This window comes from Homo sapiens, chromosome 2 (genome assembly GCF_000001405.40).
Source record: "Homo sapiens chromosome 2, GRCh38.p14 Primary Assembly".
Taxonomy (NCBI): Eukaryota; Metazoa; Chordata; class Mammalia; order Primates; family Hominidae; genus Homo; species Homo sapiens.
The window spans coordinates 80,564,737-80,592,691 of NC_000002.12; the positions used below are offsets into that span (position 1 = coordinate 80,564,737).

Below are 27,955 nucleotides of genomic sequence, written 5' to 3' on the forward strand. Positions count from 1 at the left end.
GCAGGAAGAATTGGGACTGGCCAAGATGATGATAGTTGTCTGGAGAGGTAGAAACAGCTGACAAATAGCAGCAAATAGGGAGCAGATTAAGCCAGGGTACTGTTGTTCTTGCTCCTGGATTCCAATTTTCAACTTCGAACCTGATGTCTCAAGACAGAAGAGAAGCTAGTATATCATTGGTCTAGGCAGAGGAAGATTGAAATTTAGAGAAAGTATGTAAGGTTTATTTCTACATTGCCTCTGCTACATTTTAAAAAAGCATTTGAAGACACTTAAGATTTAAATTCAATCAAGTGATGTAAATTAAATAATTAAAGTGGTGTAAATATGAGATAGAAAGGAAATAGTTTCAAGAGAATATTGGATGAAACTGGGTGGCTGAGTAGAAACTGTGTTTCTACTGGGCTAGGCAAGCTGAGTTTGAATTGTTTTGTTTTTATTTTCTGGAAGTTACTACTTTGTTGGTAAAGGCTTTCAAAGACTTTCTTTCCTCATGGATCTGGGGAGGTCATAATGGAACACCATGTTTAACATTGGCCTTCTTGGCAAGCAAGATAAAAAGCAAAGTTCTAGGAGCAAGTTTATCAAATCTTGTCCTGAGGGCAGATTATTTCACAGGAAATTCCTTATTAAAAATGCAACACTGTCACCAGGATGATACGGGGCTGCTGAGGGGAGAGAAGGGCATAGAACTGGGGAAGCTCAGTTTGCAAAACAAATTGTACCAACTTCCCGGTTTTCAGATTCAGCACTAATTGGTGTGCTGTGTCCCATTATGCTCACCTTTTTTTTTTTTCCATGGTGAATCGTGTGGTTGTACCTCCAAGTTCTTTCCAAAAGAGACTAGGTGATTTTGCCTGGTAGAAACAGTGTGTGCATGGGTAAATGCAGAAAGTCATGGTGTGAAGACAGCCCCAAGAAGCATTTACTATGGCTCTTTCATGTGCTAGGCAGTGTGGTAATCATCTGACATGCATCCTACTTGTTTGTAAGTGCCTCCAAAGCATAATGTATTTGTGTTATTTACCACTCGATTCCCGATTCCCGGTGCCTAGAGTACTGCTTAGATTTGCATATAAAATTTAGTAATAAACTTGTTGAATGTATTTCTGATCTTTATGTAAACCCTGAAGGGCAATGATCATTATTTCTGTTTTATACTGAGTAAACTGAGGCTTAAATTGGTTTAATAACGTGTAAAATTAAATATCAAGATTCATTTACACATTTTCCTGGAACCAATAAATATGCTTGAAACGTAGATCAAGCATCGTTGCTACAATTAAACAGAAATTTTCATGTGTCCTGCTAGCTAGTTTTTTACCAATATTTTTACTTAGGGCATAGCTATTTTTACTGATAGTTTTACTTATGGCATAGCATACTACATTAGTTATATATTTCTGTGTAACAAATTACCCGCAAATTTAACTTGCCACGTGGGCTTTTCTTTAGAGCAGCTTACAACATGGCAACTGTCTTCCATCAGAGTTAAGTAACCAAGATAGTAAGAAAACAGAAGCCAGCATCATTTTTCATTTCAGAAGTGGCATCCCATCTTTTTTTGCCATATTCTGTTGGTTAGAAGTGAATTACTAGTTCCAGCTCACATTCAAGGTTGAGGGGATTACACAAAGGCATGAATACCAGGAGAAGAGGAATCACTGGGGGCCCTCTCAGAGGCATCTGTCACACATACATATTTGCAAATACATGAGGATAGGAGAGACCATAAGGGTAATGAATGGCATAACTGGATAAAACAGTCCTAGGGTGTGTGGACAAATCCCACAACATGGACTTAATAAGGACATATTCAAATGCTGGTATAATAGCCCTATTACCTTGTGCAGTGGCATTTAGAGCACAAAAGATCCACTGAGGCAATATGAAGCCATACAGTATGTGGACAGGAGGGGACAGAGGAATAACAGAGCTAGATCGTGGAGAAGGAAGGGCCTAGATTCATTCAAGGTGATTGGAGAAGTGGGTTGGAGTCAAAGAGAACAGATAAGAGTCAGGGAATGGTACATAGACAAAGCTGGTACATAATTCAAAGATCAGTGTGCATGCCAAAGGGAATAAAAAACTAATGGCATCATCAGGAAAAATTCTATTTGACTTAGGTTTAGAGATTCGAACATTAATTGAAGAAGCTCTTTAGCCTGTGGTGTCAGAAGTCATAACCAAGATTCGAGTGCATGTGTGTAAAATTAGGGGTGGAAGTGAAAGCTCTGAACAGTGTACGAACCCTTAGCCAAGGGCTTTAATGAGATTCCAGCCATCCTCGTACCTCCTAGGGAAGGCACACACCTATAAATACATATGGAAATGAAATAGTCACTATTTGCGAAGTAGACGTATAGATCCATTTGCCTAGTAGGTAATGCTCCCACCCAAACATCTCTAAAAAGATTCTGAGCTGAGGATTTTTAAAGTCCCCCGTGTAGGGGTGAATTGGGGGAATACTTAAAGACCTTCTATTAATTTATGATCATGACATTCGTTACTAAAATCACTAATATAAAATGGTGGCCAGCTTCTATGATTTGTCATCTGTTCTTAAGTGGAACTAAAGGGAGAGATGTGTTATGGCTTCAGTTTGGGGTAGTTTCTACTTCTACATTGACTGTGAATTGGAACTTCAGACTCGGTCTTCTTACAACTGATTATGCTTCATGGATGTGTGGAATTGTCAAGGCACACCCCGTGCCTTATAGATGCCAGTCAGAGTCCCCTTTGGGCAACTTTAGGGCCCCAGTAGTTGATATCACACTCTCTTTTACCCTTTTTTCCTCTCTTCTGTCATCTAATTAGGGGGCCTCCTGAATAATCCCTTAGCAGTGTCTGACAGGAACCATTTTTGGGAAAGAATACTTTACCTGTAGAAATAACATCAAACATCACTTACCTGGTATAGGGGACACTGGAATGGCCCCACAGTGATCCTCCAAATTAATATTTTCTGGCTCCAATTACTCTGATTTTTCCCTAATCTTTACCGAATTCCAACTGTTACAGTAGAGGCTCAGTGACTGTCTGTGATGGGGGGAGGATATTGTACTAATTCCTGCACAGGAATTAGCTGCAATTCCATCCCTGTCGTGATATTTTATGTTATTTTTAGATTCCTTTCAATGCTCTTTTTTTTATTTTATGTTAACAGTTACTAAACTGTTTATCTCTCTCGAACAGGGGCTTTGTCTATTTTCTTTTCTCTATGCTCCATAATAAAATTTGTGCAAGAAACACACTCAGAGTGTGTTGGATGACTGCATCACCACAGTTGGGTGACCCCTGTGCATGCAGATGTGCTTGACTGGCCTTGGCGAACTAGTTGAGAATAGAATTATGAATCTTTCTTGCTCAATGGTGATGCTCCTTCTGAAGAAGCAGAGTCCTGAAAGAATCCTGAGCTCAGGTTTCTGAAAGGTCCCTACAGACCAAACCCAGAATGCCCACTAATCACTTGTTAAATGACTCGTGATACTTTTTAATAAAATTACTGAACCAATGCTAAATGATGGGCAGAAAAAGAGAGACTTGTTATGTGAAATGTGATGCTACTCACTTTGTCCGTGAAATACTGGATGACAAAGGAGTTCTTCATCTTAATTTTCCCCATTTATTCCTGTCCTATTCTTTTACTTCTTATCCTTCTCTACCCAACTGGATAGATTGTCTGTGCTAGAAGCAGGACAAGGGTTTAAATGCAAAGAATGAAGCAGAGATGGTCTCTGCCTGAAGGCGATTCATATGTGAAACAGTTGACATACAGAAATACCGATGAACTAGCCTAATACAGTATACTGAGTGCTATAATGGTGTGCGTGTGTGTGTGTGTGTGTGTGTGTGTGTGTGAGATTAGGATGCTATAAAATTACAGAGAATTGTAGAGAACTGTCTACTTTGGGTTCTGAGGATTAAAGAAGGCTTCACAATGGCAATTAGTTCTACACTGGAGATTGAAGATTGAGTAGGAGTTCACCTGGGCCAAAGACGAGTATGTACATTTCAGTATGAGAAAATAAATCATTCATGGATATGTTGCTGTGGGTCCATTTCATATTTGGAGATATTGAAGTTAAAGTCTGTCTAACTGGAACATTTGAGAATATGTGGTAATAAGGGGTGAGACAGAAAGACACAAGAACCATATAGGCAGATAATAGATGCTTTTTGTGTTTGTTTCTTGATAAAGAGGTTTTATAGTTCTCTGTAGTATAGGGAATCATTGGAATACTTAAAGCAGGGGTAAGGACCTTTTATATACCTGAGGGTAGCGAGGTTACCTGACTCTTCATCTCTGCTACCTTTGGTTGACCTTGCATTTTGCCCTTTGGGTTGTCAGCAGTCCTATTTGAATATTTAACACAACTTCTCATTCATTTAACTGACTCACCCTGTGTTCTGAAACTTCATCCCTGACGTCTCTCAGGAGAATTTATTCCAGAACTTTCTCACCTCTGGTTTAGGATCTCGATCAACACTAGAATGATGCGACCTTGATTTTTATATGCATACTTAACTCTGATTTCATTACTCCTAGGGATATCATCGTTTTGTGGCCTAGTGTGTGCGCTGCATACAGAAATATAGCTAGAATTCAAAAGTTTATCTCTGAATTTGATCACCCTTTCAGACATAAGCTATTAAGAACAAATCAGCATTTCTGATAAATAACTGTAAAGTGGTGCCTACAGTTTTTGGATGTAATTCAGAAAGCAGAAAGAAGCTTCTATTTATATTCCTATATCAAAAACTCTGTTAATACACAATGTGTGCATCACAAAGGCAATGCTGCGTTTTGTCCTAATTAGTGAGAGGCAGAAGCAGCATCATATTTGAGGAAGTTTGAAACTTTTTCTGTCTCAGTATTACTTTTGGGGTATTTAGGTTTTTTTTTTTTTTTTTTTTTTTTTTTGAGATGGAGTCTTGCTCTGTTGCCCAGGCTGGAGTGCAGTGGCACCACCTCGGCTCACTGCAAGCTCTGCCTCCCAGATTCATGCCATTCTCCTGCCTCAGCCTCCCAAGTAGCTGGGACTACAGGCACCCGCCACCACACCCAGCTAATTTTTTGTATTTTTAGTAGAGACGGGGTTTCACTGTGTTACCCAGGATGGTCTCGATCTCCTGACCTCGTGATCCACCCTCCTCGGCCTCCCAAAGTGCTGGGATTACAGGCATGAGCCAAGGCGCCTGGCCTAGATTTTTTAGACATTACCAAAGTATTAGAAAAATTAATAGTCAACCTAACATCTTAGGTTCTGTCAAGATGGGTCATTGTTCTATAAACTTTTGTTTTTATGTCTCATCACTCTTTCTGTTTTGAGACGGAGTCTCGCTCTGTTGCCCAGGCTGAAGTTCAGTGGTGCGATCTTGGTTCACTGCAACCTCTGCCTCCTGGGTTCAAGCGATTCTCATGCCTCAGCCTCTCGAGTAGCTGGGATTACAGGCACCTGCCACCATGCCTGGCTATGTTTTGTATTTTTAGTAGAGGTGGGGTTTCACCATGTTGCCCAGGCTATTCTTGAACTCCAGACCTCAGGTGATCCACCCACCTTGGCTTCCCAAAGTGCTGGAATTACACGTGTGAGCCACCGTGCCCAGCCTCATCACTCTTAAAGGCAGAATAGGATAAGACCGAATGAGCGAAGAGCAGCAATGTGGAGAGCAGAGGTATTGGTGATTAAAGAACAGTAGCAGTTGACCAATCCCTAAATAAATATTGAACTGTGCTTAGGATTGGTCTCAGAGAAAGAGTTTCTTAGGGGTCAGACCCAGAAAAACACTGACTTATGGTAAGGAAAAAAATAGATGTCTTGTCAGTTACAGTAAATATAATGAATTGAATGAGTTCGAGTTTTATGTTTTACTGGCCAAAGAATATAATAAGATGGTTTAAATATTAAGGCTCAATTGCACTCTGAGCCTCTATTTTAAAAATAAAGAACTTGTACCCTCTCCCCTATCGTTTTTTTCTTCCTTGAAAGGTCGATGGTAGTTCTGTTCCAATCTCTTCATAAAAATTCATTGTTTCTGCCACTTCTGACAACCCCAGGTCAATAACACTGTTGTTTATACCAAAATCCTACCATCCAAATCTCACTAGAGAGATAATGTATGCCATGCTGGTGCAAATAGAATCCTCTTCTCCAAACTGTATGTCACAGCATTACTAGATGTATTCTGAGTTGCAGAGCATCCCCTATGAAGTCCATTTAGGTTTTAGCTTTCTCCTCTCACCCTTGCGGGAAGTATCAGGCCAGGAGGTGGTTTTAGCGAGATGGCAAAAACCGCATTTATTTTTGCACCAACCTAATAGCATGTCACCTTCTACGTTGTCCTCCTCCCCATCTCTTCCTCAGGGTGACCTTGCCACAAACAAAGCAACACCATAACCTTTTTCACCCCTTTATATTCGAGAAAGGTCTTCATGCAAATAGAGGTGTGTTCATGCAGGTTGGGGTCTGAGCGGTGGGCATTTTCCCACTCAACTTCTTAGTTGGCAGTTACTAAGGCAGAATATTAAGTGTTTGATCACAGTCATAATGTCTGAGGGACTTCCTCACTTAATGATATTGTTCAGATCGGTTTCTATCATGTTGTGGGCCATGTGATAGAACTTTATTTTTTCAGAGCCCAGTTCTATAAGAAGTACAACCTTGAGAATAATTTGATTTCTTTTTAAACATGTGAATTATGAAAAGATTCAAAGATACAAAAAGAACAAAGACTAATAAAACAAATGTCTCTCCTTCCATCTCAAAGGTAACTACTATATTTAAAGTGGTATATATCCTTTTAGAACATGTAAGAACATGTACAAATGTATATGTTTAAATAATGCACAGTTTTCATTTGTGTATTTAAAAATTTTTCACAAACGATGTTTCTTTTCCTACTCACACGATATTGTTTTTCCCACTCGAACTTTGACCTCAGGGCTTATTCACTTTAATATATTGACTGTCCCCTGACTCACATCCCTAAGTCTGTTTTATCCCACCCAGATGTACTGTCTGTGGATCTGCAGTTAGCATATCAAAGTGGTTCCTGAGTTGGAGGATTCAGAATAGGGCTGGGGTAGAGCCTGTAGACAGAGCTCCCTTAAAGCAATTATTTTCATTCTCAGGTTTTGTATAATTTTCTTCTTAACTCTTTGAATATATAACCTAGCAGGAAACAACTGTCTCTATGGTTATAGAGACACAAAAACATTTTTGTGACTCCAATGTACAATTACTTACCCCTCCTAATCAGCATTTCTTTAGAAGTTAATATTTGGCCAAGCCCCTAGAGAATGCCCCAAATCACAGGGAGTGGATTTTACTAGATTTTGTCAAAGCACTTGCCGAAATGATGTGTAACCATTGTTCTCCCATCTGTAGTAGAAGGGTACCATTGTGTCTGCATGCTCAATATGATTAATATTATTATGCTTTAATTTGTTTACCTATGCCTATAAGTATGAAATTACATCTCATTGTTTGCATTATTTCTCTGATTATGGGTGAAGTCTTACTGTGTATTTATCAGCAATATGGATTGCTTTTCTGTGAACTGAGTGTACTAATTCTTTGTCAATTTTTAATATTTTTCCGTATTGATTTGTGGGATTAGTCTATTTATTTTATATACATGTAGGAGTACTAATTCTTTATCAGTTATATCCATAGGGATAAACAGTTTTATGCCTCTGAAAGCTCCCTTGTAGTATTACATAGAACTATAACATCACTGATGGTCATACTTATGGCAACGTAGACACCGTGGAGTGGCATTAATATAACTCAGTTTAAGAAAGAGGGAACTTGTAATTATATTTAAGAAGATACTTATTCTCAAATTCTAATATGTACAAAAATAATTTCATGCTCACTATTGAGTCATTTAAAAAAGTTTATTCCCAACACGAATAACTCAAATAGTCTGAGTTTAATGCAGTGGTTTTTAGAAATATAGTTTTATTTGATTCATATTTGTGGCAGTACAGCTTAATATTTCCCAAATTCTTTTATCTAAATATAGCTTAAAAGCCCAAATGAAAAATTCAAGTAATATAGAGAACCAATTATAGTAATTCATCCATAGAAGGAGATTTCCCCATGCATGCTGTGGTTTCGGTAATTTCTACTAAAGTGTGGGCACACAGTTTTCCTCTAACCCTGCTGTCTCCCCCTCCTTTTTTAAGTCTGTCTTTTCCTGGTAGAAATACATTTTTCCAGGAATGTTTTATCTTGAATACTCTGACCCTACAGAGTAAAGTAATTTAGCAGAATTTCTCACAGAGGGATTAAAATGGATATTAAAGTATCCACAGAGGATGAAAGTGAGTATAAAGAGGAATCAGGCATGAAAGTTCAGGAATGGAAATAGATGAATGATGTTTCTATTTTATCATCCTTGTAAATAAAACGAATATGCTTTTGGCTTTCATTTACTATACAAATTGATTGTTACAGGATAAAAGCTGAGAAAATTGAATTATAATTTTTGAGAATCAGTGAATCAGCAGCATCTTTTAAGAAGTTAGTGGAGGTGTTCCAGACGCTCCGCTGAGTTTACTTTCCACTAATCTCTAGGGTGTGTGCAGGATCCCTGTGAAAATAACGAAGTGTCAGCATTTTAGAAATTTATATACGTATGCTCTTTCACATCCGGGTGGTCCTGGTAAGATGGAACACTTTATCTTTGAGCCCATTGGTCTTCTCTTTCCATAGGACATTCTGCTGAAATGTCCCGTGTCTGTCTCCCTCTTTTCTATTACACACTCCTTCCCCATCTTCCCTTGCTCCACCCTCCCCTCCCCCATGTCTCAAGTCCAGCATTTCTGACAAAAGTGGGAAGGGTTGTATCATTTCATCCACATTTGATTGTGAAGCCATTTGGGTTAAGGTCTGCTACTCACCAGCTATGACTGTAACATCCGATATTAGTTAAATATTTATTGATACTTCCAAAGGGCCAGATTCCACCCAAAACTTTTTTGCATTTTCCCACTGAATCACGAAGTAGAATTTTATTACATTTTATAGACAAAGAAACAGGTTAAAACGTGGCCAAGGATTTACAGTAACCAGTAACCAGCAGCAACCAGCAGAAATGCAACTCAGTTTGGGGTTAGGGTAACATGAAAACTATATTCACACACTACACCACACTACTGTGGGCAGGTTTTAAAAACTTTGTCTTTTGCAAACCATCACCATGCATAGAATAACAATTGGGAAAGTTTCCTTTCCCTGCTCCTGAGGTAACTGTCATAAAGACTACTAAATTGGGCTCACTTCAAACTGGACAGATGAGTGTCTTGCTCCACTTAACTTTTAGAATGCCCGAGGACCTGCCACTTCGCCCAAGAGCTGGAATAAGAGGTAGTGAGAGAGAAATTGCCTAATCCTCTGCTTTTTATTTTTAACCCAGTGATGCCACGCTTCGCTGAACAAGTAGAGGTTGCCATTGAAGCCCTGAGTGCCAACGTTCCTCAACCGTTTGAGGAGAATGAGTTCATCGATGCCTCTCGCCTGGTGTATGATGGCGTTCGGGACATCAGAAAGGCTGTGCTGATGATCAGGGTATGTGAGGCCTCTGTAGCTCAGAGCTGGTCAGATCTCCTAGTAGGAAACTAAAGAGCTAACTGTCTTATTTATTATTTATTTTGTAATTACTGAGTTTAACTTGGTAAGCTGTTTGGCTCCTTATTAGTCAGACAAGGTGAGCTTTATACTTATGAAGGGATGAGTAATATCAACAAGCTCAAGTGAGCACTGAATATTCTGAAGGGCAACACCCTGCCTACTTGTTGCATGCATTACTTCCTCAGTTTCATACAACCTTTAGGCATACCCCTGCTATTTTCCATTTGTATCTCTTGCTAACACTCTTCCCATCAGGATCTGAAGACCATGGGCTGGAAAGAAATGAAGATTACACAGCATAGTAGTGTTTATAATAACACATAATAGTAACAGTTATTATCATGCAACTATGAAGTGATACATAATTACATTCTCTTTGTATAAAAATAATTCAGACATTATAAATAAGGCTGGATAGCCTAACATCAAACCTCTTATTACCCACTCCACTATCTTCCCATCTTCAGACTTCTGTTGTTAGGTAGGTGTGTCTTCCAAAATGTTGTCTAAATAATTAATATATATATTCACAGGCCTAGAAAATATATATTGTAGTTGATTTAAAAACTCATACAGCATCATTTGCAACTTTTTGTTCACCCACAAGGCACATTCACATATGTCTGTTAAGACATCTAGCTAACCTCATTTTATTTAACTGCTGTATAATCCATTATAAGATGACTTTTTTCTCCTTATCTTACCAACAGTTTAGCATAGTAATGTCCAAACATATTTATTAGCCACATAATAATCTTTATTTCTTCAAATATACTGCATATGCAAAAGCACATTTATTGCTATTATATTTGAAGCAGAGGTGGGGCTTCTGCAGTTCTAATCCCAAAAGCATGCTGTCCAGTAGAATGGTATCCACACTTGTAACTTAAAATATTCTAGTAAACACACTACAAAAGCAAAAAGATGAAATTAATTATAATTTTAAAAATTTATTTAACCAAATGTATCCAAAATATCATTTTGTGGCACACTATGGTGTTTTGTTTGGCACGGAGCCTAAATCTTTCTCTCTCTTTCTTTCTGGGTGTGTGTGCGTGTATGTGTGTGTAAGAGAGGGAGAGAGATGCCTAGAAATATGGGAGGGGGACAGAGAAAAGAGATATAAGAATTGGAAGAGAGGGCAAGGAAAGATAGTCAGCCTTTTAGGCCCATAAGAAATTAGATCATTTTTGTACTAACTTGTGAAATAAAGTAATAGACCATGAGAATTGTATTTTCAAAGCATTTGGTACTAAATCCCACTGTAATCCTCAAGATATATTCCCTCTTTTGCCATTTTTCTGCTTTGCTGGCCTTCACATGTTTGTCACAACCATTCACCTAGGAGGATGAGAAAGTTTATAGCCATCATTCACTTACTAATTCATGAGCTGTAACACACACACACACATACACACACACAATTTTAGATAAAATGTCGTATCTTTGTCACATAAAGTGTCATTTCTCTATCTCGACATTTCAAGTAGTTTGATTAGACGGATTTCACACCACTTAAAATTTAGGAGGAGAGAAATGTACAGTATGTACAAATTGTTATTTTTAAAATCCTTCTCCATTCAGCACCCAAATGGCTTCATTTTGCACTTAAATAATTTCTTGGTTTTCTTTCTGAATGTAATGATTGAGTCTACTTTAAAAAATCCCTTGTGCTAAGGAAGATAAACAATAAGACAAGTAGAATTGTTTCTTTCCCAAAACATTTGACCATACCTCCTTCCCTCCCAAAGGCTGCAAAGAAAGATTTTTCTTTTCCCAAAAACAATACAGAAAGGATCCTGAAGGGTCAAATTCTTTATCATCTTGTCTCTTGGCAGTCAATACATATTTAATGGTGATGTTGGTATCCAAGTGCTTGAGGCCAGCTCCAGGCAACCCTCTGAAGTAGACAAAGCTTGTTCTTACTGTATTCCAGCCTCAGCTGTCAGGACCTCCCTTTTCTGTTGGAGCAATCTACCCCTCTTCCATGAAACCATTTTTTTTTTTTTTGCTTCTTCCTGAGGCTTGTCCATTGGGATCTGTTAGGCACATAGGAATTTTCTGATTATCCCCACAAAGTGGCTTAAAAATATATATGCAAATCTGGCAGACCAACATATAGTCATTTTTCATTTCTTACAGTAGTTAGTGTTCTACAAATTCACTGTGAACACGAAATTTGTGAATCTTGAATCATTGCTTCTAGGAGAAATACAGGGTTAGGTTACTGTGAGCTTCTGGCCACACTTTTATCAACTGATCAATACTTAACCTTGTTTTATGTGAGTTTGTGTTCAAAGACACCTTCTTTAATATGTATTGTTTTTTGGGGGAGCCGAGGCAGGTGGATCACCTGAGGTCGGGAGTTTAAGACCAGCCTGGCCAACATGGTGAAACCCTGTCTCTACTGAAAAAAAAAAAAAAAAAAAAATACAAAAATCAGCCAGGCATGTTGGCGTGCATCTGTAATCCTAGCTACTTGGGAGGCTGTGGGAGGAGAATTGCTTGAACCTGGGAGGCGGAGGTTACAGTTTAACTTCACGTCTCCCAAACTGTGTATCAAGGTGCCCTGGAGCATTGCCAGATATTTTAAAATTTCAAGGGTAGCACATAGACATCTCTTGAATTCTGTATGAAATATGTTAATCAACGTGGCCTCTTAAGGTGTCTAGTTTTATTAATTAGAAATAGTTCAGTATGATTAAAAATTGGTAATTCTGTCTTGGTTATTCATTTATTTGCTGAAAGCTTATTAGATGTCCAAACTTTTGGAGTTGCCCTGAATACAGGATGAACAAAGCAGACAAAAGTCTCTACCCTCACAGGATTTCTATTCCTCTGGTAGGAGACAGAGAATAAACAAGGAAATATAATGTCAAACATTATGCCACAGAGAAAACCAAAGTATCCTAAAGGGGATAGAGCTTCTGGTGGGCATGGATCTCATGAAAGGAGGTACCTGGGTGGCATTTGAGAAGATACTGGGAGAAGGAAGAAGAAATAAGCCCTAACGGTACTCAGGTGGAGCATGTTTCCGGCGGAGGAAATGTCAAGTGCAAAGGTTGGAGCCAGGAACTTGACCTAGAGACCTAAGGACCTTATTGAATGAGTTGGGAGCCACTGGAGGGTTCTGAGCAGGGGAATAGTGTGATCTGACTTAGACCTTAAAAGGACCACCATGGCCATGCTGGTGAGAACAGAATGTATGGGGCAAGAGCAGAAGCAAGATCAGTTAGGAACCTCCAGAATAATCCAGGCCAGGCCAGACTTGCTGGTCGCCAATCACTCCTGACTAGGGAGTTTTTTCATTTTGTTGTTGTTGTTGTTTTGTTTTTACCTTTGGATCTCTAATTTGATTTTCTAGTCTGCAGCCCATTCCAGTGGTGTTGAGCTCTGTTGGGAAATCCTACCTCATGCATCTCTCAAGCTCTCCTGCCAACCTATATTCTCAGCCTTCTCCCAGTGAAATTCTCATACACATTTGGGCCGTTTCTTTCAATGGTTCTTATTACATTTTATGAAAAATGAGAAAATACTGAAGGATTCAGAGTCATTTCACCGGGACTCATTTGTAAAATTTACTCAACAACTCACATGTCCAGGTGAAATGACTGAATCCTTCAATACTTTCTCACTTTGTTTCTCTATAGAGGCTGTTGCAGAGGAATAGAGCACCAGCAGCAGGTGAACGGGTCCTGTTTTGCAACTGACATGTGGTATGACCCTGGTCAAGCCACATGATCTCCCTGGGCCCCTGTAATGGGCACAAGTTAATCTCATAGACTTTTAGGAGAGAATCTGGAGTCTGAATACTTGGTGCCATTTTACAGATATGACCCACTTCCATAACAAAACATAAAATAGTGGAACCACGAAACTAGGAGTAGACTTTAAATAGTTTCTGTTTATTGAAAAAAGCCTTCCCAAAGAGCACATAGAACTTTCACCCTCAGTCTCTATCCTCCAGTACAGCGAACTGTTTATTTTATTTATTCCTTTACCCTGTAACACTATCTAATGATAGAAGCGTAATCTTCCTGGGCCCATTTGCAGACCCTCTGTAATTTTCCATGTTTCCTTTAATTCATGGAGGTCTTTGACCAACTAAAAAATAGCACTCATAGTTTTAAAAATGTGTAATTCAAAAAAGAATGCCACGAGTAGGAGACACACTCACATGCAATTAGCAAACTGCACATGCACAGAACTTTTTATATGGATGGGCTGGATGGGTTTGTTGCGTGTTTAAGGTACATGTAAATAGCTTAAGCTCATCTATTTGCCTGGTGGTATTTGTGATGGTTAAAATCATGGGCTCTGAAACCGTCAACTTGTTGCCCGCCTCCATCACTTGCTAGGTGTGATGCTTTGGAAAATATACTCAACAGTTCTGAGCCTGTTCACACACCTATAAAATGGTGATTACATTTATTTCATTAGGTTTTTGTAAGGATCAAATTCTTTAGCTGAATGCCTGTCCCATAGTGGGTGGTAAACAATGATTGCCATTATTATTGCTGTTGTTGTTATTAGGTGTTATATTTTATTATTAAGCACAGTAATTATCACCATCATTTATGAATTTAGTTAATTTTTATGGTTCCTAAAGCATTTTCCTATACATCTAAGCTTAGGAGTCCTGTGGGGCAGAAAGTGCATATAGCAATTATAATCTCCGTTTTATGAGCAGGGAGACACAGAAGTAGTGAAACTAAGTGACTTGCCAAAGACATATAGCTTGTGAATGGCAGAGTTAGGTCAAAACATGCAGGTCCCCTGAGTCCTCGTCCAGGTTAATACCTCTTTTGATTTTAATGTTTTTCTTTATTTTGGTTCTTGGGCCATTGTCTCTTGAATAAAAACTCATCATTATTAGCCTTATGCTGCCAGGTTGGGTTTGTCATTGACTCATCTACTGAATGCACAGATCACTGAAATGTTTGGGCACAGTACTATAAGAACTGTCATATTCTGCTTATTTTTGTTGAATGAGATTTTTCGATTTACTTTTTCTCTTTCAAGAACTTATGACAAAAAGCGCTTGTAATCTTGTCATCTCATCTGTCAGCTGAATTTACCAACTTGCTATAATTGTCCCACAGTACACTGCAAAAGAGGGAGAAATGATCAGAGAATATTGTCTCTGTCCACAATAAAAATACAACCAGTTACTTGAACTGGGCTCTGCCTACTGTAGCCCTGCTTTAGTTAATAAAATATGAGAACAAAACCTCTTTCTTCTCTCCTTATTTTAATATTCCTATGAAAGTAAACATCTGTAGATGACTGAGTGAATGTTAATAAGGTTGATGGTGAGAGAGAAGGAAAAACAAGAGTGATATGCCAAAGCTTGGAAAATTACTAGGCATAACGTGCTATTGGCACGAAGGACCCCATTTTATGCCTGTCTGACCAATCTCAAGCCTTCATCAATAACCACACCTGATTAATTACACTGTGGTAGCCAAAGAAACCAGCAGAATAAAAATGTGCCCTTTTGGATGGGGAATGGGCAACTACATCATCGGTATTCCTTGTGGTCTGCTCTTTTCTTTTGAAAGACAAAGCCCTGGAATGTGGTCCTACTGTATGCCAAGAGGCAGTCTGTGGAAGACCATCACCTGTCAGGCTAATCTCACACTGATTCACTCACTCACTTTTGTGCACCATCCTTACTACCGTTCGAATTTAACCTCATAGAGTTAGCAAAGCCTTAGAGCAAGCTATAACGTCTCATGCCTCAGTTTTCCTACCTGGAAAATGGAGAAAATAATGTCTACATCATACGAGTGTTAAGAAACCTGCGTGAGTTAGTGCCTGTAAAGCACTTAGAAAAAACGTTGACAGACACATACATGGTAAGCACTTAATGCACAGTTATCTATTATTATTGCCATTGAAGATGGAAAGGTGTTTTGTTCCTGGGCTTATGGATTCTTTCTTATCTTTTCCTTATCACTGACTTTATAGATTGGAAAGGATCTTGATCTAACTCTACTCTTTTTAAGCAATTTTATAACTTCAGTTCTTGCTAAATTTGTAACGTGAATAAACTACAACAAAAACTAATAATGAGAAGTATGTTTGGAGTCAGACACACCTGGGTGTTTAGATCTAACTTCTGGTTCTTTATTAACTAATTTAGGGATATGGGGCAAATGGCTTAACTTCTTTGCACCTTGTATTACTTACCTCTAAATAGAGAATGATCCCTAATGTCACTGTGCTCATCTGAGCTAAATTGATAATACATATGTAAAAGTTATTTAATCCTTTATGGGTATGTGGTAATCAGTAGCTTCATTTCATAAACTTTGTTGAATGAATTGATTTAAAAATCCTAATAATAATGATGGGCCAGGCACAGTGACTCATGCTTGTAATCCTAGCAATTTGGGAGGCCAATGCGGGCAGATCACTTCAGGCCAGGAGTTCCAGACCAGCCTGGCCAACGTGGTGAAACCTTGTCTCTACTAAAAAATACAAAAATTAGCCAAGCATGATGGTGTACACCTGTAATCCCAGCTACTTGGGTGGCTGAGGTACAAGAATAACTTGAACCTGGGAGGTGGAAGTTATAGTGAGCCAAGATCCCACTGCTGCACTCCAGCCTGGGCTACACAGTGAGACCCTGTCTCAAAACAACAAACCCTAAGTAATAATGATGACAAACATTTAAAAAATACCTACTCTGTGTCTGATACTATACAGATAATACATTGCCTAATCTTCACAGCAATCATAGAGGTAGCTACTATTATCAACCTCAATTTACAGAGGAAGTCAAACTAAGAGAGGTAAGATAGTTTATTTATGAGCACATAGGGGCTCATATTCAGGCAGTCTTGACTCTAGAGCCTGTGCTTATAACCGTTATACCTTATGGCTTTGTGACCAAATCAGATATTCCATCAGGTCTAGCCTTTGGCCTGGAGATAATCAACTTTTTTGTTTATAGAGCAAAAGTGGCATTATAGAAGTATAGGTGTAAATTTTGTTGTTGATGGATCTTTTCTTTCAATAGATTTGGATGGGTGGAAATAATACACAGATATCATTTTTCTTAAAATTAGCATATCACTGCAAGTTAGACTTACTATACCTGTATGAGGAAATAATAAATAAAATATATTTTTTAAAGTAAATTAGGGCAGCTTGATTTTTCTGACTGCATTCCGGCTAATACTCACCCACATAGCTGTGTGGGTGCTATGTAGGATGCTATAAGCTCTGTTTGCTGGGGGATATTTAGCCTTTGCAATGAAGTGTGTGGATGGGGGTGAAGATTATCAATTTAAGTATGCTGACTTATATCTTTTTGTCTTTAGACCCCAGAAGAACTAGAGGATGATTCTGACTTTGAGCAGGAAGATTATGATGTGCGTAGCAGGACAAGTGTTCAGACTGAGGATGACCAGCTCATTGCAGGGCAGAGCGCACGGGTGAGTGGACACCTAAGACTTTGGCTTGGCACACAGGGACCGTGTTTACTAAAATGGTTTGAGGGTATTTCTAAACTCCAGACACGTGGTACCCCAGAGATTCATGGGTCAGAAATCTGTGCTCTCATCTGAGGTTGTTTATAGCAAATCACATTTTACACAGTGAAAATAACCACCACTGCTCCTGATTCCTCTAACTCCTCTCTTTTGCTATCACTGGAAACATAGCAACCACATCACAGCAAGCTTTTATGTGTATAATTGATTTTGTTGGGTTTGGGTACTAGAATTAGATGATAGACTGATAGGGGACACTGGAATACTCAAATTTTGCATTGGCACAGTCACCATTGTTCTTCCTGAAGTCTCCAAGCTTGTCAACACAAGAGGCAATGACAAATGAGGAATCAGGGCACTACTTTGTTTATAGCTGGGCTGTTGCTCCATACAATGGCCTATGTTCTATGATATCTAAGACCGTATCTTTTGAAATTGGTTCAAGGCCATTAGATAGAGAACTTTTTCTTTCCTCATGATGCCTGTCTACTCCCATGGTGGTATTCCTAGATCTGTCTGCCATATGATAGAAAAATAGAGACAAATTAGAAATATTCAAGTTTAAGGCAAGGATCAGGAAGCAACAGAGAGAGTACCAGCTCTGCCTGACATTTGAGTACTCCATGATACTGTTCACCAATGCATTTGGTCTAAAGAGCATCCTAAATTTGGATCAATCTGATTTGCTGTATCACCCAGAGAGTAGGTGTACGTAATCAAGGCCGGTGGTAAGAGATGAAATCTTTAGAGACTGCATAGGACGATGAAATTTTCCTCCCCTTAAGGGCTCAGTTTCCAAAGAGTAAAAACAATCAGATTATAGTATAACTGAGAATTAGATATTCTAATTTTCTTTGTTAAGTTTTATTTAAATAAAAGATAATGAATAGAAAGCAAGAGGTTGAGAAAGAGAAGGTAATTTAAAATAGAAATTGGGAAACGCCAGAAAGCCCACACTGCCTTAAGAATTATGAAAGAAAAATAATCAGAGGTTAAAATAAAGAGGACTTGAGGGAGATGTTTAGTCAAGAAAGACTTTGTGTCTAAAACCCAGTTTCTCTTATGTGCTTTATGCCCTGATATTCTCACTCAACAATCAAGTGACCCAAAAGATATAAACAAACATTAATAGGAGGGATGTGAAGGTTAAAGAATATTAAAGACAAAGCCTTTGATTTCAGACAGATTTGGTTTTGAATTATAAAGGGCAGCATTAGAACCATGCTCAAAGCTACATGTTGCTTGATTTTTCAGTTTCAGACCTCTCTCTAAAATGCGAATAACAGGGTTACCTGATAGGATTCTTATGAAGATTTAATTACTTAATATTTGTAAAATAATAGGCACAATATTAGACATTCAGTAAGTGCTCGATAAAGATGACCGTGATAATTATCATCCTTTCTAAGAGAAATCCTTTCCGATCACATGATGGTGGGACAACAGAAAAGTTGGCATAGAGCCCCCTATTTCAAAAATTCCTTGCAGACTCTATTTAATCCCCCCTAAAATGTTGAAAATTGGAAAGGTCAGTAACTTGAAAATCTTTTGACTCTGTGTTGGCAAAACGTCAGATGAATTAAACAGTCAATTCATCTTCAGAATTAAGTAAAACCAGCATTGTTATGTCACTGACAAAGGGCAATTTTGAGTAATTCATCCAAACATGAAGCAATTCAAAGTCAATTTAATTGACTAACTGCAACTCAGTATACATACAGCCTAGTATCCACTGACTAGTTTTCTTAAAGACAAAGACAGGTTGTACAACTCATCTTGCTTTATAAGCACCATCTTGTCAAAATGGCATGAACAGTCCCACTTTTACAAGGAAGAATAGAGTCGCAATATACTTCTGTTTCATTGGGAACCTAATTCTAGTCTCATTTACATTAGACTTCAAGTCAATGATGATGGGTGGAAATACAATTTGGAGACTCCTGTCTTTATCATCTATTATTTCTTCACACTAGTGTCTTTTCTGAGAGTTTTTTTCAGCATGAATTATAAACAGGGTCCAAGATAGTAAGAACAGAGCACTCCTACAAATTCAGCACTTGCTCATTTGACTTTGAGGTCTATCATGTGGTCTGTACGATTAAGTTGCAGCAGACAGCATTACTTACTGAGTCAGCCTATTTTAGCCTGTAATTATATGATGACAAATCAGAGACATGGAATTATGGCTGTTAAGTTGGAAATAAGAGGGTGCATTGAATTGCTGAAATGATAGATGGTCAGACTTTTGACCAGCAAAGTGTGCTAAGTTGGTCCAAATTTTGAAGGAGGCGAACTTTGTCTTTGACAGAGGCATTTGCTCTTCCCTGCAGCAAGTCCTCCCATGTTAATGATATTACTTTGTGTTCACATTTAGAGAAAGTCTCCCTTTCTAAAAATGGTAAATTAATCTATAAGAAGGTTTGAGTGGGAGATAAGCTTTTAGTAACCCCATCCAACATTGCTCTCAAATTCTGGAATTAAAGTATTTCAAAAATGTCCTTTATATGCCCATATCTGCTGCTTGCCTACAACATTCTGAGGGAGAGGAGATAGGGGGCGGGGGGCGGTTTAGGAGGGGGGAATGAATGGGAATCAATATGGATGGTGGTGATCTGATAAAATATGGAGGTGATCTTACCCTTTGATCCTAGACATGACATAATATAAACTGTTTCTCCACAGTCTGGCATAGTTAAAATAGGTTAGTGACAATTGCTAGGCACTTAACCTTGGTGATACAATATATTATTTGGAGTCACACAGACCTGATTTTAAATATGGACTTAGTGAAGCTGTGTGACTTTGGGGCAACTTTCTTAACCTCTCCACACTTCATCTCCTCGTATGCTACCACATAAGGTCGTAGGGAGAATTCCATGATAAAATGTATCACAGGATTTATCATATAAATATGTAATAATTAAGTTGGTGGTAATGGTGATGATGCTTGTGGCTTGAGCTAATCATTCATTAGAAGGCTGACTAAATAATTTCACCTAAAAGAGTTGGATCATTCAGGCAATCATGAGAGTTTTTACTTGAGTTAATGGGACAACTACCTCAATTTTCCAATTCACTTCACAGCTAGAGACTGGTAAGAATCAAAGGACCCACTCCTTAACTACTTATTATACTGCTTTAAAGTCAAGTAAGTAGAAACAGGCACATTGAGTTTTAGTCCCTTTAATTGTTATTTATAAACATTCTTGTACTTGAAACTTAATGTTAGCCTCTTGCTCTAGGCTAAGAAATGAACACTTGTCAGTTTGGGGACCCATAGACGTTAAAAATCATTTTTTTCTCTGGAAATTGGAAGATAATTATATCAAAATCTCCTTGAGATTTAAATTGAAGAATGGATTCAGTGCTATCTGAATGGTTGTTTCCTTTTATCAGTGATTTTCACTTTTAGTGTAATAGGTATAGTTTATAACAATCACCGAAAAATGGTTGGTGGTTCAGAGGAAAGGCTGGGAGGGACTCTGGGGTAGGGGGAAGGAATCCTTTTGGATTAATATCTCTGATACCACTAATTTGGAACCCCACATCAGGCAGATCAACAATTTGGAGAGCTGTGCTTTGCTACTGTGAAAAGCAGAAACTTCAACCTGTCCTGGGTAATCATATCATACAAACAAAATCTGATATGTTCCCTTTCCTCTTGGCCATGAAGATAATTTTTCTCATGTTCCCTTAGTTTGAGGGAATGAACAATTGCATGTTATGTATTTTATATTGAGTTTGATTTCAATGTAGCTGGCTTCTATTTTTTTCTAGCTAGAATGGCCTTAATGTGTTAACATTTCAAACTGCTGAGTTACATTGATAAGACCTAATTAAAACTCATGTGTTGAATTCTAATTTGATTAACTTGCAAATTTCACAGTTTGTGATCTACTGTTTATAGATAACCTTTTTTTAAATTCCAGTTTCAGAAAAGGTCAATTATGAATTTTTAAAAGCAAGAGCATTTTAAGAATATTTAGGAAGAGACTTCAGCTCATTGATAGCTACATAAGCAGAAGCAAATGGAAAGATGCTTTCACCCAAGTCACACACCATTAAGTGTATTATGCAGGTCGAGCACCCCTAGAGTCAAAATAATATCTTCCTTTGCAAACTTGCATTGGAGGGGATAGTTTTTCTTCAGAATTGTGTCCTTAGAATGTGTGTGTCCGTTCTGGCAACTTCTCTTGAGTTATGTTAATGCAGTGAGTGGAAAAATGTTTAAGCAGTCAAAAGATGTTTATTAAGCTTCTACTCTGGGCAGGATATGGCAGCCTAAACCCTAGGGAAGCATATAAAGAAGTTAGCAGTAGGGCATTAATAGGAATTAATTAGAGAGCAAAGCAAAGCAGTTAATATTCAAGTGCTAAATTGTATTATGGAGATGCAAGTGCTATAGTTGACAGAGAAGTATACACTTTTCAGTGCACAAATTAACCTTGTGTTGGGACAATGAAATGTGCATTGCTTTTCATCTGGGGATTGAACATTGAGTCTGGGAGTCTGCTGGTAGTTTTACGGATTCTTTTTCAGAGAAGCACCTAGCGAATGTTTTAAATGATGCTGGTTTAGGACCTGTGAGGTCTAAGTAAAGCATGATTCGCTCTTCTGTATGAGGAGGACAATAAACCAAAAACAGCAATAGGTCATCAGAAAGGAATAGTTAAGGAAAAAAGTGCATATATAATTTCTGTAAATCAAACATATCTCAAATATAGTGGAATAGCTGTCTTGCTATGAACACAACATTGCAAATGTGAGCTTACAATAAACTCTTGTATATCAAGCACCTTTTCAAATACAGTTTTTAAAGCTACTTTATCTTTCAAGATATAGTATTTTAGATATCTTAATAGTATTCATACAAGTCTGGATTTTTAAATATGGATTAAAATTTACACGTACACACGCATATCCAAACATACATACACATGCTATTTAAAGCCACATACATGTATCCATGGAAGTCAGTAGATGTGGCTACTAGTAAGAAGCATCTGGGCAGCCACGGGTTCAAGGATACCTTTAGTCAAATCAGACACCATAGGCAACTCATGTCTATGGCATCCACCAGGATGCACAGTGTGGCGAGCAGTGCTAGTGATATCAGTGACCCTTGCCCCACTTGGTTGAGGACCCCAGGACAGTGGGTAAGTTGCATGGCCAGGCACAACTGATGATCCAGTTGTGTAGAGTGGTTAAGAATGATCTTAGTTCAGGTGGGTTTGAATCCTATTCCTAGAGCCTATTGTGTGATATTAGGAATTCTATGAATTTCTCTAGGCCTAGATATTATTATTAAAATGGGGATAGTAATAGTATCAGAATGATTAAGTAGATTGTTATTTGACATACATAAGCCTCAGCACAGTACCCAGTACTTGTGGATATACATAAGGAATCATAACAATCTTCTATTTGTAGATAGTTGCATAGACCCCGAGCCCATCCCTTTCCCTATAGCAACTAAGAAATGAGCCAGAGGGGTAGTTGGAAAGGCAAATTAATGGCAGCAGTTATAATATAATGTTAATGATAATTCTATACATGCTTACTTTCATTTTATTTGAAAAAACACATATTATTTAATTTGCTGCCCACCATCACCTTTTGAGGTAATTATTTACTATGCCCATATTCTATCTGAAGAGATCAACGATAGATCCATGTAACAGTGAAGTCTTAACCCATGTCAGCTACAGAGCCCCTGTTGAACCCAGTTCTTCTGAGCTCACATTGCCTGATACCTCTATTAGACCTTAGTTATAGTCCTTCCAAATTTATTCACTCACACAGGGAGAAGATTTATAATTTAGGAAGCATTTTTCTTGTGTTATTTTACTTGTTCATTGCAGAAACTGCAGTCCCCCAAACTGTACCCTCTTGGTCTGTCTTATGGAAAATATGTGCATCCTAGAAGCAGGGGAATTGGAAGTACCTATTCACATTCCCCTGTCTGTGAAGCAGGTTGCATACAGTTTTGGGAGGATGTGATACGGTGATGACAGACATTTCATTCGGGGCTTGCTACCTAAATGGTGTTTAACAAATATAGTTGATTCTCATTACTCCTGATAGTTATGTTCTATAAAGTCATCATGAACATTTAATTAGCAAATATTTAATCATTGGTCCTAGGGGAAATACAGCAGTAGATTCCTCAGAGCTGCCAGTCAAGACATTTTCTTCAACTGATCAATAAGTAACTATGTTTAATGGGTGTTTCTGTTTAGACACTTTATATTTTTGATTCATTAACATTGAACTCACAGCCAATAACTCTGTAACTCATGCCTGATTGAAGCTTAACTAACACATGTGTTTTCTCCATAAGGCACATGCCCGCCTTCTCGTGCTCGGGGACACTAGACGCACTTCAGCACCATGCTTGGAGCCATTTTAAACAGCAAAGTTACTAACAAAAAGCACAAAGATATGAAAAATGTAGCATTAAATAGACTGCAAAAAGTACACTTGTTTACAGTACGAGAGCTGAAAAAGGAAGGCAGAGCATTGCCTTGTTCAACCTCATCTGGGAATGTGCATGTCACGCAACTCAATTTTTTTGCTGCTCTGCCCACATTTGCAAATGACCACGAAAATGCTACAAGCCTTGATTTTGGGGTTACAAGTATATTTTAGAGAGTAGGCAAATTGGCAAATGAAGAATCCATGAATAAGAAGACTGCAGTTCTCCTTTTTCTACATTTTCTTACCTAGCAGTTATTGAAAATGAACCCATGCTTCCTAATTTTATCCTTTATCCCATTATAACTTTTCTGCCTACGTACTCAAAGGCTTTAACAAGGAGCCGCAGGCATGCCACCACCCTAAAGGAGATGGGGGAGGGCTGAGAGTAGGCACACCGTCCCTGGAGTGCCCTGGGCAGGGGATTTTTGTTGGGCATCTCTCTGTAGACACCTTCACTTACACTCATAGAAAGTAGCCCCATCCTCCCCCACTTGGATGCTCAGATAGTGTTTAAAATTCCTATCCTTTCCAGCGACAGAAGGCCGTTTTTCTTTTTTTCCCTTCTCTGAACAGATTTCAGTGTTGAAAGAGGTGCATTCTTTCATCTGGTAAAAGTTTCCTGAGACCAAATATAAAAATTGTCAAGAATAGCTTCTTTTGAACAAACATATGCCATCAAAGCGGCAGAGAAGTTCTGTTATTGCCAGTGCGCACGTAGCTTTGGATATCTCTGTATTTTTCATATATGGGAGTGGGACGGGGACTTTGGGGAGCTTATCAGCCTGTGCTCGTGGCCTCCCTGGAATGGAGAAAGACGTGCTTTCCGGAATGGCAGGGTAGCTCATAAGCCTTTGCAGGGTCTGGCTCTGCCATCCGCAGAAGGCAGAGTCAACATACGGTCTGTACTTCCTTTGTCACCGTCACTCACGCTTTTTCTGTAACCCACGCAGGCCATCATGGCGCAACTACCGCAGGAGGAGAAGGCAAAAATAGCTGAGCAGGTGGAGATATTCCATCAAGAGAAAAGCAAGCTGGATGCAGAAGTGGCCAAATGGGACGACAGCGGCAATGATATCATTGTACTGGCCAAGCAGATGTGTATGATCATGATGGAAATGACAGACTTCACAAGGTGAGGCCCAGAGCCAGGGAGCTGAAGATTTTTTCATTAAACCCAGAAGTGTAGCAGTGTGTATTAGCATGTGAAAGCCTGCTGAAAAATTAAAATATACCAACGCAAGGTGGTGGTATTATAAATTTACATGTATAAGTCAAAATGATCTGCACTTAATTCCTAGCAGATAGGTATATCTTTTTGGTCAAGGAGAATAGATTCAATGTTGTAATTATTGTTGTTATAATTATCTACCCTAAGGCAGTCATAAAATCAAACCCCGAGGGACGGGTGACTCATCTTTGGTCTGTGCTATTTTGCAATATGCTTAAGTATTATTCTGAAGATAAAGTGAATGATTTGTTAATATACCTTTGGAAAAATATGTACCTCTGTGTGTGTGTGTGTGTGTGTGTGTGTGTGTGTGTGTGTGTGTGTGCGCGCGCGCGCATGTATACATATAGTATGTTGTAATATTAGCTTGTGATCTAGCATTAATTTAAGCTCACATTTTATTCTTACATATTAAGAATCAGATACAACAATCTAAGATTCCATTGTTTTCACAGAGAAATTAAAGTTGTATAAGATTTATTTCCTTTAGCTCTGAGCTAGTACCTTTGACAAATCAAGTGACCAGTCAGAATTTTGTCAGGAGACTTTTCTTCAACAAGGGTTAGTGCTCTTTTCTATCATTGCATTTTGGTCTCTTCTTTAAAAGAAGATGATATCTCTGCCCTTTCAACACAAAGGACAAACCAAGGGAGAGCAAAACTCAGTAGGAACCTCCCTGAATTTTGAGTCAGAATATCAGGTGATTTGGGGGCAAGTCTCTTACTCTCTATTTGCGAAATGGTGAAATAACACTTGTCTTATCAACTTCAGAAGAGAGTTTTAAAATCCAAAGAGATAATGCAAGTATAAATTATGCTGTTATACAGATATAAACTATGGTTTTACTGTAGTGTTTTTTTTTCTGGAAAACACACATATGCAAAGATGTTTTAATGATTTAACGTGGCATTTGTTATTGAAATAATGTAAGATATATGGGAATGTCAAGACATCATCTGATGGGTGACAACTTTTTTTAATGGTTGTTGAATGCTTCTAATGAGAAAAGGCTAGAATTGATTATAAGTTATAATTTAATATGGAACATCTCTGCGTCACCCCCTTTGCCTCTGGCCAATATGTACTAATGACATAGCTTGGCCCTTTTTCCCAATATTTTAAAATTGTTTTTTTTACTTCAGTGGAATGATTTTACTGTTATGAAGGAGCCCTTTGAGACTTTTAAATGTCATTGTATTCATTAGAAGTTCATATTTGTACATTTGGTTAGTCTTTGTGGACTTCACACATTTATTTCACAAAGCGTAACAGCAGGAAAAAAGTCTGAGCCATTATTTCAGCCTGAAACTTCTACAAATCAGACGATTATGGCAGCCTCAGTCACTGTTTCTCAAGGCCTGTGATGACTTAATTTGCTTGCTTTCAACATTTTATTAGTACTTTACCTGATGGTTATTATCCAGTCCATTAATAGCATCACTTGAACAAATAATCTCAGTAAAGTGAATAATGACTCTGGTCATGTTACTAGTTTTGATCAGGAGCACATTTTATAATTCTCTAGATTATATAACTGTGGTCAAGGCACAGTTATGAAAGATATATTTGAGGGGTCTTGTTACATGGTGTTAAATAAGACACATGTCTGTTAGTCAAAGTATAGTTTTAAAAGTGAGAAGAAGGTGTCTTCAGTTTCATAGGGATTTCATATCATTATGCTGATTTAAATAATGAAATGTCTAGGGAGCTACTAGTTACAATTTTTCCCACTGCATGATGAGTCGTTTTGTGTTCTTTTTGTTAGGGCAAAGGGAGGAGTATAGTAATGAATGACTGGAGAACCAGAGTAGACTGTGCGTTTGAAATGCAACACAGGAAGTTGAGGCTTCATTGCTGCCTCCATCTGCACAGCCTGTTTTTTTTTTTTTTTTTTTTTGCAAACAGACAGCTGACTAGTGCCTTTCTTTGTGGCCTCTCACCTAAGTTCACTATATTTGACCTTATACATTGTTATTATTGCCCTTCCACTTGCATATTCCACTTCAAGGAGGAATAATTTTAGCTCCATAACTCTAAACATTCTTAAGTACCATTTTCTCTTATTTAAAGAATGGATGTAGCTGATTAGGAATTGAAACTTGGCCACTCTCCATAATGTGTATGTGTAAAGGGCATGTGGGTACACAATACCCTGGCATTTATTATCTTGTTGTTTTATTCTTATCACTAGCTAATTCATTAATTTGATTCAGTAATCTCAATGATATTCACTCCATTGTTATTAAAATTGGGAGGGTTCTGCCTCATTATATGTGTAATAACTTCTTCATGGAAGATAAAACTGATTAGGCCTCATGTCTTTTTCCCACTCAGTTCTTGACTTCCATCTCATGGACAATGGCAGAAGCACCATCCTGCATGGAGTGAATGCATGCTTTTCTTTTCATGTCATTTTTCAGAAAGAAATCGCATGTTGCTAGTCTTGTGTCCCAATAACAAAAGGCGTGCAGATAGCAACAGCTCAAGTTTAATTGTACAGCAAAGAGCAAAGCTGTTTTTAGAATCAAACTTAAGTTCTAATCTTCAACAGTTTTGAGACTAAGAAAAAAAAACTTTCAGAGTACAACTGACTGTAAAATACTGAGCACTAGACTCAAAAATCATATAATCATTCTATATTTCCCAAACTTGATTTTCTGGCTTACTTCACATGCTCAGTACCTCAGCTTAGGGAGCGCTTTACTGGTCTTTCAGTTCCAATTCTCTACTCATCCAGGCCACATCTGCTCAGTGAAGGGCAACCATCCAGCTTCCTTTGCACCAAAAGTTTCGTTAGTTCCTGTTTTCACAAAATAAAAATCCTTGTGTTTGCTCTCCAAGGCCTACCTTTCTTGACCTTTAGGCTTCTGTCCTAATTTTGTACATGTTTAACATCTGACCTTACAACCTATTCCAAAAAGTACCTGGAATAGTTCAACTTGTGATTCTGCAGTTCCACCTGAGTTCTCGAAATTCCCCAGATTCACTCAGCTGTTCTACTGTGCTGTCTTCATACTGCTTCAGCTGATTAGTGAAATGCAGCTCATTAGTAAAATTTCCCAAACATATTCAGAAGCCTCTGAAAAGTGACTTTTATGGTTCGATACATT

At 38.2% G+C, this 27,955-nt stretch overlaps 1 protein-coding gene across 15 annotated transcripts in view; it reads left to right on the top strand.

The window, feature by feature from the left end:
* The window catches only part of CTNNA2 (catenin alpha 2), a 1,463,404-nt gene that overhangs the window by 1,379,360 nt on the left and 56,089 nt on the right, over window positions 1-27,955 (top strand). For all 15 annotated transcript variants that reach the window (NM_001399737.1, XM_024452714.2, XM_011532556.3 and 12 more), the window contains 3 exons: window positions 9,427-9,578; window positions 16,970-17,083; window positions 24,568-24,749. In NM_001399737.1, coding sequence (NP_001386666.1) covers window positions 9,427-9,578; window positions 16,970-17,083; window positions 24,568-24,749 — 448 coding nt within the window. The remainder of the gene's footprint in view (window positions 1-9,426; window positions 9,579-16,969; window positions 17,084-24,567; window positions 24,750-27,955) is intronic.